The sequence below is a fragment of the Homo sapiens genome, chromosome 10 (genome assembly GCF_000001405.40).
Source record: "Homo sapiens chromosome 10, GRCh38.p14 Primary Assembly".
Classification (NCBI taxonomy): domain Eukaryota; kingdom Metazoa; phylum Chordata; class Mammalia; order Primates; family Hominidae; genus Homo; species Homo sapiens.
Genome location: NC_000010.11, coordinates 122979112 through 122990667, shown reverse-complemented (window position 1 = coordinate 122990667; position 11556 = coordinate 122979112). Strand labels below are relative to the sequence as shown.

Genomic DNA, 11556 nt, shown 5'->3' with positions numbered 1-11556 from the left:
TTATCACGAGTTAAAAAACAAAACAGCTCCATACATCCGCAACTTGTCCCCCTCCTAGTTTCTTCTCTTTATTCAAGATCCATTTAACTTGACTCCCGTCCCCCAAGCCCTACCCTAAGTGCCCTGGCACATGAGGAAGGCTGCCTCTGTGCTTAATTATCCACATCACATCTGACAAGTGACTGACTCACTCTGGCATTACTAGCCTAGAAAACATCGTAATACAACACCGTTGTTTTAACAAATTTGTAAAAGCTTACCAAAATGAGACATTTGATTGGCAGTTCAGAAATTTTAATGCTGCTTTGAAAAATACTTCTGTACAATATTATCTTTCTCATAATGAAAAAAAGAAATGACATCTGGTATGTCAATGGTTTGCTGAAAGCACAGATATTTTTTGTTTCCTTGTTTTAGGTCTTCCAAAAACTCTGCTTTGAGCTTGTTAAGTTCTTCTGCTAGAAGCTTCAAGTTGTGAGGAAGCACTTGTTCATCTAAAATAAAAAGATATTCTCAAATTACTGGTGTAAATTAAAGTAATCCGGGGTGTCTAATGACATTAGGAAATTAATTTGATTAAACAAACCAGTTAGATTCTATAAACAATCACAATTGAGTTAGTGTAATATATAGAAAAAAGGTCTCAATGTGATACTCAAAAATCATCTGAAACACGTCAAAGAATTTAAATAACTTGTTAGGAAACGTGTGAGCAGAAAAGACTAACCTGAAAGGGACTTTTTGTTGTTGTTGCCAAGAAAACTCAAGACAGCTGACTTACTACCTTACTGAATTAAGCAGAAAGGCAAAAAAGCAGAAATAGATGACAATTTAGTTTTGAACCTGATAAATAATATCTAGAACAGTAGTTGTCCAACATAACTTTCTGCAGTGATGGACCTGTTCTATATCTGCTTTATTCAATACAGCAGCCAATAGCCACACGTGGGCAGTGTTACTGAGAAGCTGAACTTTATTTTTCTGTTAGCTTTATTAGGACATAATTCACATACAGTTTACCCATTTAATCTGTATGATACAGTGTTTTTTTTATATACTCACAGATATGTGCAACCATCACCAGTTAATTTTAGAACATTTTCATCATCTCAAAAACCCATATCCTGGTGGCTCAAGCCTGTAATCCCAGCACTGTGGGTGGCCGAGGTGGGCGGATCACCTGAGGTCGGGCGTTCGAGACCAGACTGGCCAACATGGTGAAACCCCTCCTCTACTAAAAATACAAAAATTAGCGGGGCATGGTGGCACATCCCTGTAATCCCAGCTACTCGGGAGGCTGAGGCAGGAGAATCACTTGAACCCGGGAGGTGGAGGTTGCAGTGAGCCAAGATCGTGCCATTGTACTCCAGCCTGGGCAACAGAGCAAGACTCCATCTCAAAAACAAAGCAAAACAAAAACCCATATCCTTTAGCTATCATCCTCCTTACCACCTTCCCTTCTGCCCACCCCGCCCACCCCCCGCCCCCCATCTCTAAGCAACCACACATCCACTGTCTATCTCAAGATTTCCCTGTTCAGGACATTTCGTATGACTGGAAGTATACATACACTTGGTCTTTGGGACTGACTTCTTGCACTTTGCATCATGTTTTCAAGGTTATTCCACATTGTATAGCACATATCAGCATTTCATTCCTTTTTATGGCTGAATAATATTTTGTTGTATGGATACACCAAATTTTGTTGGTCAGCTGACGGACATGTGGGTTATTTTCATATTTTGGCTATTAGGAATAATGCTGCCATTAACATACATGTACAAGTTTTTATGTGAACATGTTTTCATCTCTCTTGGGTATACACCTGAGAATGGAATTGTTGGGTCATGTGCTAACGGTATGTTTGAGGGACTGCTAGCTGTTTTCCAAAGCAGCTGTACCATCTGACATTCCTAACATTTCTACACATCCTCAACACTTGGACGTTTTAATTCTAGACCTCCTAGTGGGTGTGAAGTGCTATCTTATGGTTTTGATTTGTATTTCCCCAATGACTAATCATGTTGAGCATGTCTACTCAGATCCTTTGCCCTTTTAAAAATTGGGTTGTGTTTATTATTGAGTGGTAAGAGTTCTTTATATATTTTGGATACAAGTCCCTTATGAGATATATGTCTGCAAATACTTTTTCCCATCTATGGGTTGTCTTTTCACTTTCCTGATGGTAGAGGAACTGAATTTTTAATTAAGCACAAATTAAAAACTACTACTACCTCCCCTGACCCCAAAAAATATATATAATATATGTATATATATATGGCTCTCTCTCTATCTGTATGTTTTTAAATAGGTGGGATATAAGAGTGATTTGGGCATAACCCTACCCCCCACAATCCCCCAGGACCTTGCTTCATTTTATAGACAGAAAAGAAGAAAGGCAAATGGTTGAGTGAGAACTCCTGGAACTATTTTTTGTCTTATTTTATTTATGATGCCATTTCTGTTCCGGTCCTCTGTTTCTCAAACTTATTAATGTTACCCATTAATAAGTGGCAATCGGTATTTTTCTAAAATGAAATCAAGTAGAACACAGAGTTCATTAAACATGTGAAGGTGTTTTGTGAAACTTGTTTCCACACATGAGTTCGTGTACTGGGTTATACCCTGGGTTACAATATAAAATCAACTGGTAGATCATAGTTTTATACAAATTCAAAAACAGTATGGCTGGTATATTGTTTCCTTTTCCAGTGTTCTAAGCTTTTGTAAAGGTAATAAATGATGGTGATGCAGGGGAGCAGAATGGGAAGCACAGACTGGAACTGGATGTAATTCTGGACCCCAGGTTACCCAAATATTTAGTAGCTGTTCAGTCTTGGACAAGTTACTTGTTCCTCTATGAACTTCCATTTCCCCATTTGTAAAATTACACCTACCTTATAGGACTGTGAAGATTAGAAACAGTATTTGTAAAGCGCTTAACGTATAGAAAGGTGCTCAAAAAATGTTCATTGCTGGTTTTTAAAGGTACAATTTTAAATATAGCAATACAGTATTCAAAACCTAATGGAATTACTGTGTAAAACTCTAGTTACCACATATTTCATCTATTATATAAATTCAGATTTATAATACATTGACTTTACTCAAATTCCATGCTGATCTTACACCTGGCCCCTGACTACCTTTCCCCCCTTCTTACCTCACCCCGTGCTCAATGGCCTCTTCTCGATTCTGCAACACTGCAACCAGCCAACCTTTGCGCTTCTGCACTTGATGTGTTCATTGCCTAGAATGATCCTCCAGATAGCTGCATGGTTCGCTCTTACCCATCTTTGCTTAAATGTCATCTCTGAGAAGGCTTCCTGATTACCTTTTTAAAAATAAATCCTCCCATCACTACACTGCCTTACCTTACTTAAATTTTCTTCAGAGCATGGGCATATACTCATGTAATCATGTTTTGTCTGTCTCCTCATTAGAATGTTCTGCTCCCTGCCGATTCCCCAGCATCTAGAGTAAGGCCTAGTACAGTAAGGCAACTCAGTAAAAATTTGTTGGATGGATGAACACTCAGTTCCAGAGGTAGAATTTTTAGTTACATTTAGTCAAATTGCATAATTAAATTGAAAACATGATGTGAACTTTTATGACTGAAAACTAATAAACTCTGAGTGTCGGGAATAACAGTAGCAGTAGAAAGTCACAATCATACCAACTCAACACATAACTGACACATCATACCTTTTGCTTCCTTCATTGTCTGAGATACAATCCTTCGGAGTGTCTGATCAGTTTTATGAAGAATGTTAGTTGAACAAATAATTCTGTCTGTGTCCTATGTTAATACAGACATTGTTATTAGAAGTCACATAGTTTTATAAAATAAATGGCTAAAGAATAGGTCACATGTATTTGAAAGGACTAAAAGAAAAGTTTAAGCGGCTTTTCTGTTTGTTATTCTTCCCTACAAGAGAGTCCAACCAAATCAGATCCAGTGGTAAACTGGGTTCCAGCTAGGCGGTGATATGCTGGTGAATGTCTAATAATTGACTCTCCCAGAAAAAAACCCCAGACCTATCTGTAGTGTTTGCCAATTTCTGTGATGTAAACATTCCTACCAACAAACCATCAACAGGCTCCAACACTTTTGAAAGTTTAACAATCGGCTTTGCCCAGCCGGCATGAGCTGTCAGCAGTGAGTGCTGGTGAGAGGCCAAGCCAATGACAACGCATCTCCCGTTTCACTCACATTTTATATTCGGCTCAAAAGATCTTCCTACAAAAAGTTGTTCCTTCTCATTTACATTAAATTTACACTGGAAGTTTACCTTTTGTTCCATATTGTCCTCAGCATATTTTACTGGATTTTCCAAAGCAGTGAGCAATAAATCAGTCACTTCCAGGCTACAGAGAAAATGGGATAAAATACAATAGATCCTTATATCCAACATCTGACTTTTTTTTTTTTTTTTTTTGAGATGGAGTCCTGGAGTCTTGCTCTGTCACCCAGGCTGGAGTGCAGCGGCGTGATCTCTGCTCACTGCAAGCTCTGCTTCCCGGATTTGCGCCATTCTCCTGCCTCAGCCTCCCGAGTAGCTGGGACTACAGGCGCCCACCACCACGCCCAGCTAATTTTTTGTATTTTTTAGTAGAGATGGGGTTTCACCGTGTTAGCCAGGATGGTCTAGATCTCCTGACCTCGTGATCCACCTGCCTCAGCCTCCCAAAGTGCTGGGATTACAGGCGTGAGCCACCATGCCCAGCCAACATCTGACTTTTAAGGAACTTGTATTTATGAATATTAAACTGAATTCTAGAGGAATGAAACTGCTATAACCCAAGATTCTTAACAAAAGGAAAAAAACTAAATGATTTAGAAGCTAGCTTCCATGTAGACAATCCAAATGCAGTAGCTCAAAACAAATGATAAGCTAAGGACCCCTCATTAAAAAATACCAATTTCCTAAGACTCATGTCAATAAGCTTTGAAAAGTCATTCTCTTTTCCCCTCTTAAGGCTGAACCGGGGGCCACAAGAGCTCAACTTTATTCTCTATGGAAAGATGCCTGGTCTTTACTTTCTGGCTCCCGCTTATTTACTGGATATGGATGAGCAAAGTTTCTCACTGAGCAAAGGTCCATGAAGGTTTCAGGTAGAATTCATTCATTGATTTAACAAATATGTATTGAACGTCTTATATGAAAAATACTGTACAACCACATGCTGAGCTGGGGGTGTAGCAAGATCCTTGCGTTTGCCAAGGCTGATAATGTAATAGAGACAGATAAACAGTTAAATAAAGCAAAAAATAATTTCAGATGGTGGTAAGTAGATAAGTGAGCAAAGACAATAAAGTGACAATGATAAGAGTGACAGGGTAGCCCAACTAATGTTCTTTGCTTTAGTTAGGATGGTCAGTGAAGGCAGTCAAGTATAAGAATGTGGGAAGGGCAGAGGGGCAGCAAGTACAAGGGCCCCAGGGCAAGAACATGCTCCTTGTGTTCGTGCAAGAGAAAGGCTGAAAAGAAGCCAGGAGGAGAGTGGCAGAATATGAAGTTGGAGAATTAATCTGGGTTAGATCACCTAAGTTAGGGTAAGGAGTTTGAATTTTACTCAGATTATGGGAGTGGCACTAAAAAGTTTTAAGCGAGTGAGCTCATCAAGTTAAAGCTCAACCTCAAGATGATCTTCCTCACACTGAAAAGAGCCCAGGTTCTGGAGTGAGTGCGATCTCACTGGGTCCAGATCTTGGCTCTGCCACTTCCTACCTGGGTATATTACTTTACTTATCTGGGCCTCAGTTATCCCATCTATAAAATGGGGATAGTAGTTTCTACCCTTAAAGGGTGGTTGTGAGGACTGAATGAGACCATATATATAAAGTGTTCAGAACTGGGAGAGAATTTGAGTTTTAGTGACTATTCAGCCAGTGATCACTAGCTAATTTTCATACCCATGCCCTTTTGTTCTATTTAGTCTGTTTGTTTAGAGACAGGGTTTCACTGTCACCCAGGCTGGAGTGCAGTGGCATTATCATAGCTCAACTGCAACCTCAAACTCTTGGGTTCAAGTGATCCTCCCTTCTTGGCCTCCCAAGTGCTGGGATCACAGGTGTGAGCCACTGCACCCAGTTTGTTTACAGTCTTAAAAGAGGTAAAGCATAGCAAATATTTTTTTAAGGGAACTATAACCTTAAGATAAGATTCCTAAAAAGAATTTCAAAAGGAATTATAGACACTGTTCCCAATGTAACCCAAAATTTAAGAAAATATTAGCCGGGGGTGATAGCTCATGCTCGTAATCCCAGCAATTTGGGAGGTCAAGTTGGAAGAATTGCTTGAGGCCACGAGTTTCAGACCAGCCTGGGCAACATAGTGAGACCCTGTCACTACAACAAATTAAAAAATTAGCTGGGCTTGGCAGTGTGGGCCTGTAGTTCCAGTTACTTAGGGGACTGAGACAGGAGAACTGCTTGAGCCCAGGAGGTCAAGCCTGCAGTGAGCTGATACCGATCCCTCGTGGACAATATGCAGGAACTAAGGAAGTGTGGGCAATATACCTCTGGAACTGCGCTGTCCAATAAATAGCCACTGGCCACATGAGGCTACTTAAGTTTAAATCAATAAGTTAAACAAAAAAATTCAGGTCATCAGTTACACTAGCTACTTTTAAGGGCTCAATAGTCAAATGTGGCTAGCAGCTACCATATTAGTGCAAATATAGAACATTTCCATCGCCAGCGAAGTTTCTGCTAGAAATATGCTGCTCTAGAACTCTCAAGACATACGTAATGAATGAAATGCATTAGACAGCATAGCCTACAAGCCTCACATATGCAAAAGCAGTGTAACTATGGTGAGCTCTAAGGCAAATAGGACCCAGTACCTGTTGCACTCTTTCACAGATCTCTTTCTATAAGAAAACTACCAGGCAACCTATTTAGACTATCTATTTTAGCAAGAGAATCAAAGATGTGTTCTCTGAATTCCCTGCTCCAACTACTGGAAGACAGTATAATCGTAACAGTTATGAGCAGACATTTGCAAATAAACTTGGGTTCAAATCTTTCTGGACAAACTAAATTTTCCCATTTCACTTTTAGCTTCCACACAAAGTGGGGAATAATGTCTCTCCAATGCCTGTGTGAGGACTAACTAAACCAACATAGACAAAGCACTGACCATGATACCTGGCACAGGGGAGCATCCAGGGAGGGATGATTGAGTGGAATACCTGGCCTCCGAAGCACATGCTGGACTCGGAATTGTGAGGCTGTTGTGTTCCCAAGCATTTTTCTCAGGGTTGGGCTTTTCTAGCTTTCTTCCCATCAGGTGGATGGTCTCAGGAGGCAGTGCCTGTGGCCTCTGGCCATTCCTCTGTAAACAGGTCTCAAGAGGACAATCTAAAAAGAGCTGGCAAAAGCCCAACGAATCTGAAAACAGTTTAAAATGATAGAATTACTGGTATACTCTTTTTCCAAAATATGAAATAAACATATATTAGACAAATTATGACAATTATAGTAGGAAAAACTCCGTTTGCAATACTGAACATCTAGCTTTTAAAATTAAGTAAATCTACATAACCTCCTAATCAAGTTAAATTCTCATTGAAGACAATAGTGTTTTTGATACGTGAATAAGTATCTCCATGTGTAAGAAAAAAAAAGTTTTAATTACATTTCCGAGCCAGCTGGTAGACTTCATATCTCATACTCTGATAATAAAAATTGTCATCCAAAACCAAAAACAAAGGTCTAGAAACAGCAGTTTTTGTTAAGAGGTAGCAAGACTGGGCCTCAAATGCTGCAGAAAATATCAGATCTTGATCCTTTAAGCAGGTTATAAAATCTTCCCACATGGCTTCAGTCCTGTTGGGTGGGACAGACATCTGACACCCATTAATGACAGCCATCAAGAAGTATTCCAGGTACTTCAACAGTTCCTGTCGAAGCAATTTCCATTGGGATGGCTACAAGAGACCAAAGAATTGCAATTCATATTAGGCCACTAGGGTGGTCAGTCATCTGGCCTCACTGCCACCCTGCCCCATATGAAAATTTCAGCTCACAATACGGAACCATCTGTAGTTCTCTAACACACCTGGTTTCACATGACTCCATATATACCATTCCTTCTGCCTGGAAAACTAATGTTACTAGTGCTGTGTAAAGCTTTCTCAGACTCAACCATGCAGAAGGCAGCTCAGCCTCTCCCTTGCCCATCATGAAACCCCATTCTATACATATATCTCCACTCTAGCAGTGCTTACACAGTTTAAGCATTTGTTTACACTTCTCTCTCTGCTAGATCACTGTCCATTGCATACTCAGCCTCCAGCAGAGGGTCGGTGCTCCAGAAATGTATATTAAATGGATGACTGACTGAATAAGTGAATAAATGAAAGAACTTATTTATCATCCAAGAGAAAGGTGGAGTCAAAATAGTCTGGCTAAGATATAATAATGCAGGTTTTCCCCTGAAATGGGAAAGGTAGTAGACAGCAAAAAGATCAGGTGAAAAGTCTCTGGGTCAAGAAGAAAAGACCTCAGGCTAACAAATGAGTTGATATGGGATGGGGAAAGATGGAGGAAACAAACTGAGGGGAATAAACAGCTTGAGAATACAAGTAATCTTGTGCTGGTCAAGGGCTGTGGAGAATCCTGACATAGTTAAGAAATCTAAGCTGGAGGGAAAACACGAGGACAGGGGAGTGAGAACTCTCACTTGCCTGCCCATGCCTTACCACCACTGAGATTACACTACATACAACAAACACATCAGCTAAACCCACTAAATTGGAAACACATATCACTTCCTAAGTGAGCAGATGAGTCCCACAGTCTTTGTCCATAGGAAAAGCGTGGAAAAAACAACATAATACAAGTGAAGGGAAAGCCAGCAAATACAACAATCCCTATCGACAACTTTCAGCTTTCTCCGAAGTGTTGAAAATACTATCATCCAGGTCAATCCTGCGCTATCCTGACACTGCACTTACTTCACAATTAACCAAGAATGAGAAAGTAGATACACCTTGCTGGAGAGCCCATGCACCAAATGTACTGTATTTTTGTATATATACTTAGAAAGTAGAGTCACATAACATTTGCATTTGATTTCTGTAAATTCATCTACATTAGGCATTAAACAACAAAAATAATAATGTTAACATTTCAGAATATTTCAAAGAGTATTTACTCAAGAGTGAGCATGAGAAACACGAATGTAATCTACTCTTCCCCCAGTGGTCTCAGTTTCCACATGCTTCTCCAAGAGGATGTATCTCACTGTGCTGAGTGTGAGATGAGGAGGGCTTAAAGAGATGTATTTGGAACATACAAGTTTTTCCGTAAATACAAACCCATTACTTCCTCTGGTGGTCAACTAAGAAACAGCCATCCTTCCCAAAGCTGGCAGAGGCAGATTTACTTTGAGATGAACAAAGATTAAGCTTCATAGGTCTGATAATGCATTTGTACAGCCTCTTTCTATCGTTCTGAGGGACCCCAGAAATTTTGTTACTTATAGTTTTTATTCCTTTTCTTAAAGAGGATTCCTCAAATTACAAAACCTGAATCCACCCGTAGCTAGACGTTCAAGTTTTAGAACTTCTTTCCCTCTCCTAAGGAGAAACTTCCTAAGGGATTTTCGACAGTGCATTTGACTATAGGGGCTTTCCACCTTGCACGCTGACTTGAGAACCTGACCCTGTCTGAAGACTCAACTGTATAGAATATACAACATATACATGCATCAAATATACAGATAAGCATCTAAAATGCATCGTTCTAACAGTTGGCTTTGTAACCACTTTCTACAGCCAACGCATTCACCCTCTGCAGTAACTATGTTAACCCAGCTCCACTTTTCTCGAACTTCACCTCCCACACCAAGCAATGGGCGCTCATGGCAAATCACCCAGGACCGCGTGGACGCGAGTGTCCCCGCCCCGCCCCGCCCCGCCCCGCCCCGCCCCGCGGCCCAGGCCCCGCCCCTCCGTGCTGACCGCCGGTCGCGCTCTTGCCCCGGCGAGAAACGCGTCGGGCATGACGTCATCATACGCGACAACACCGATGGCCCAACCCTGCTCCTGCTGCAGCCGGTGGGCGAGGGCGCGCGCGAAAGTCGATTTTCCTGCCGCGGGGAGGCCACAGAGGACGCAGAGGCCTCGTTTCCGCGGCCCGTCGCTGCCGGTTCCTCTGATGTTCTCGGCGGTCTTCATGCTGCCCGGGGAGACCGGAGGAGTCTGGGAGCGTCGTCTCCGCTCTACCGTCTGCCCTGCGCGCACGCGCAGCGTCTCCGCCGCCTACCGGCGCAGTGGAGGAACTGGCCTAGCTGGGTTTCCGTGCGGCCCCAGAGGCACCTGCTCCACCGGTGCCCTGCTTGCTCCCAGGGACCAGAGGCTGGAGAGACCGCGGCGCTGCGTTCCTAGCTCCTGGACATTCCCAAGGGGTCCCAGAGTTAGGATTGATCTTCAAATAGAATCACCCTCCCTGCCGAAAGTTGCCAGCCAGTAGGATTGGCGCCTCAGTTTTGTTAGGATGAGGTCTTTCTGCTTAGGAAAATCCCAAAAGAGACGTTGAGCCTTTCCCTCCAGCAATCTTTCGAAAATAAGTTACTGGAAATCAAAGAATAGAAGGCGAGGCTGACAGTCCGACCACCGCGCTCCTTTGCGGTTCCCAGATGTGAAGAGTGCAAGGGCAAAGTAAACATTCGTTATTGTGCCCTCACAGCACCAGTGGGCAGCAAGCGTGAAGAAATATTGTCAGGAAAGGCACATCCACAGACCTCAATTCCAGTGCATGCAGACAGAGAACAATAGGTGTTTGTGTTAAAAAGTAATACTAAGCTATGGAGAGGTACAAAACAAGTTTTTGTTTTTTGTTTGTTTTTAAGACGGAGTCTCGCTCTGTCGCCCAGGCTGGAGTGCAGTGGCGCAATCTCGGCTCACTGCAACCTCTGCAACCTCCGCCTCCTGGGTTCACGCCATTCTCCTGCCTCAGCCTCCGAGTAGCTGGGAATACAGGCGCTTGCCACCAGGCCCAGCTAACTTTTTGTATTTTTAGTGGAGACGGGGTTTCACCATGTTAGCCAGGATGGTCTCGATTTCCTGACCTTGTGATCCGCCCGCCTCGGCCTCCCAAAGATTACAGGCGCAAGCCACCGCGGCTGGCCAAGTTTTTTTTGTCTGGGGGTGTGTTGTAGAAAAATTGAATTCAGATTACAGTTTTTTGTTTTTTGAGACAGCGTCTCACTCTCTCGCCCGGACTGGAGTGCAGTGGTCCGATCTCGGCTCACCGCAACCTCCGCCTCTCAGGCTCGAGGGATTCTCCTGCCTCAGCCTCCCGAGTAGCTGGGATTACAGGCGAACACCACTACTGCCCAATTAATTTTTGTATTTTCAGTAAGAACGGGGTTTCCTCATGTTGGACAGGCTGGTCTTGAACTGACCGCAAATGATCCACCCGCCTCGGCTTCCCAAAGTGCTGGTATTACAGGCGTGAGCCACCGCGTCGGGCCTAGATTCCAGATTCTTTTATCCTTATATTTTAGGGGATAATTCCTTCTTACCTGTAAAGGGTATGTTCAA

At 42.4% G+C, this 11556-nt stretch overlaps 1 protein-coding gene across 4 annotated transcripts, besides 1 other annotated feature; it reads right to left on the bottom strand.

The window, feature by feature from the left end:
- On the bottom strand, positions 278-10267 carry PSTK (phosphoseryl-tRNA kinase). 4 transcript variants are annotated; one of them, XR_001747018.2, is made up of 7 exons: positions 9973-10267; positions 7644-7935; positions 7198-7396; positions 4293-4368; positions 3706-3799; positions 1571-1746; positions 278-494 (listed from the first exon to the last, which is right to left on the bottom strand). XR_001747018.2 is itself a non-coding variant. In NM_153336.3 (7 exons), exons 1-6 carry the CDS (start codon positions 10186-10188, stop codon positions 3165-3167), a joined length of 1047 nt encoding a protein of 348 aa, NP_699167.2. In that variant the 5' UTR covers positions 10189-10267; the 3' UTR covers positions 278-494; position 3164. The 4 variants fall into 4 exon arrangements, 3 of the variants coding, with proteins under 3 accessions (NP_699167.2, NP_001350460.1, XP_016871130.1); NM_153336.3 differs by lacking the exon at positions 1571-1746 and adding an exon at positions 3164-3334; NM_001363531.2 differs by lacking the exon at positions 1571-1746.
- Positions 9936-10255: an enhancer, noted in NCBI's record as "active region_4143". NCBI's record gives its function as "activates an Ori minimal core promoter by ATAC-STARR-seq in GM12878 lymphoblastoid cells {active_cell/tissue: GM12878}" and the evidence as "EXISTENCE:reporter gene assay evidence [ECO:0000049][PMID:35858748]".

Bases quoted from the DNA above. Each gene is read 5' to 3' on its own strand.
- PSTK (NM_001363531.2), bottom strand. From the start codon at position 10,188: ATGAAGACCGCCGAGAACATCAGAGGAACCGGCAGCGACGGGCCGCGG. The intron at 3,800-4,292 runs GTAAACTTCCAG...GTATTAACATAG, and splicing joins AGGACAATATGGAACAAAAG to GACACAGACAGAATTATTTG. The intron at 495-3,705 runs GTATGATGTGTC...TTTTTATTTTAG, and splicing joins GACAATGAAGGAAGCAAAAG to ATGAACAAGTGCTTCCTCAC.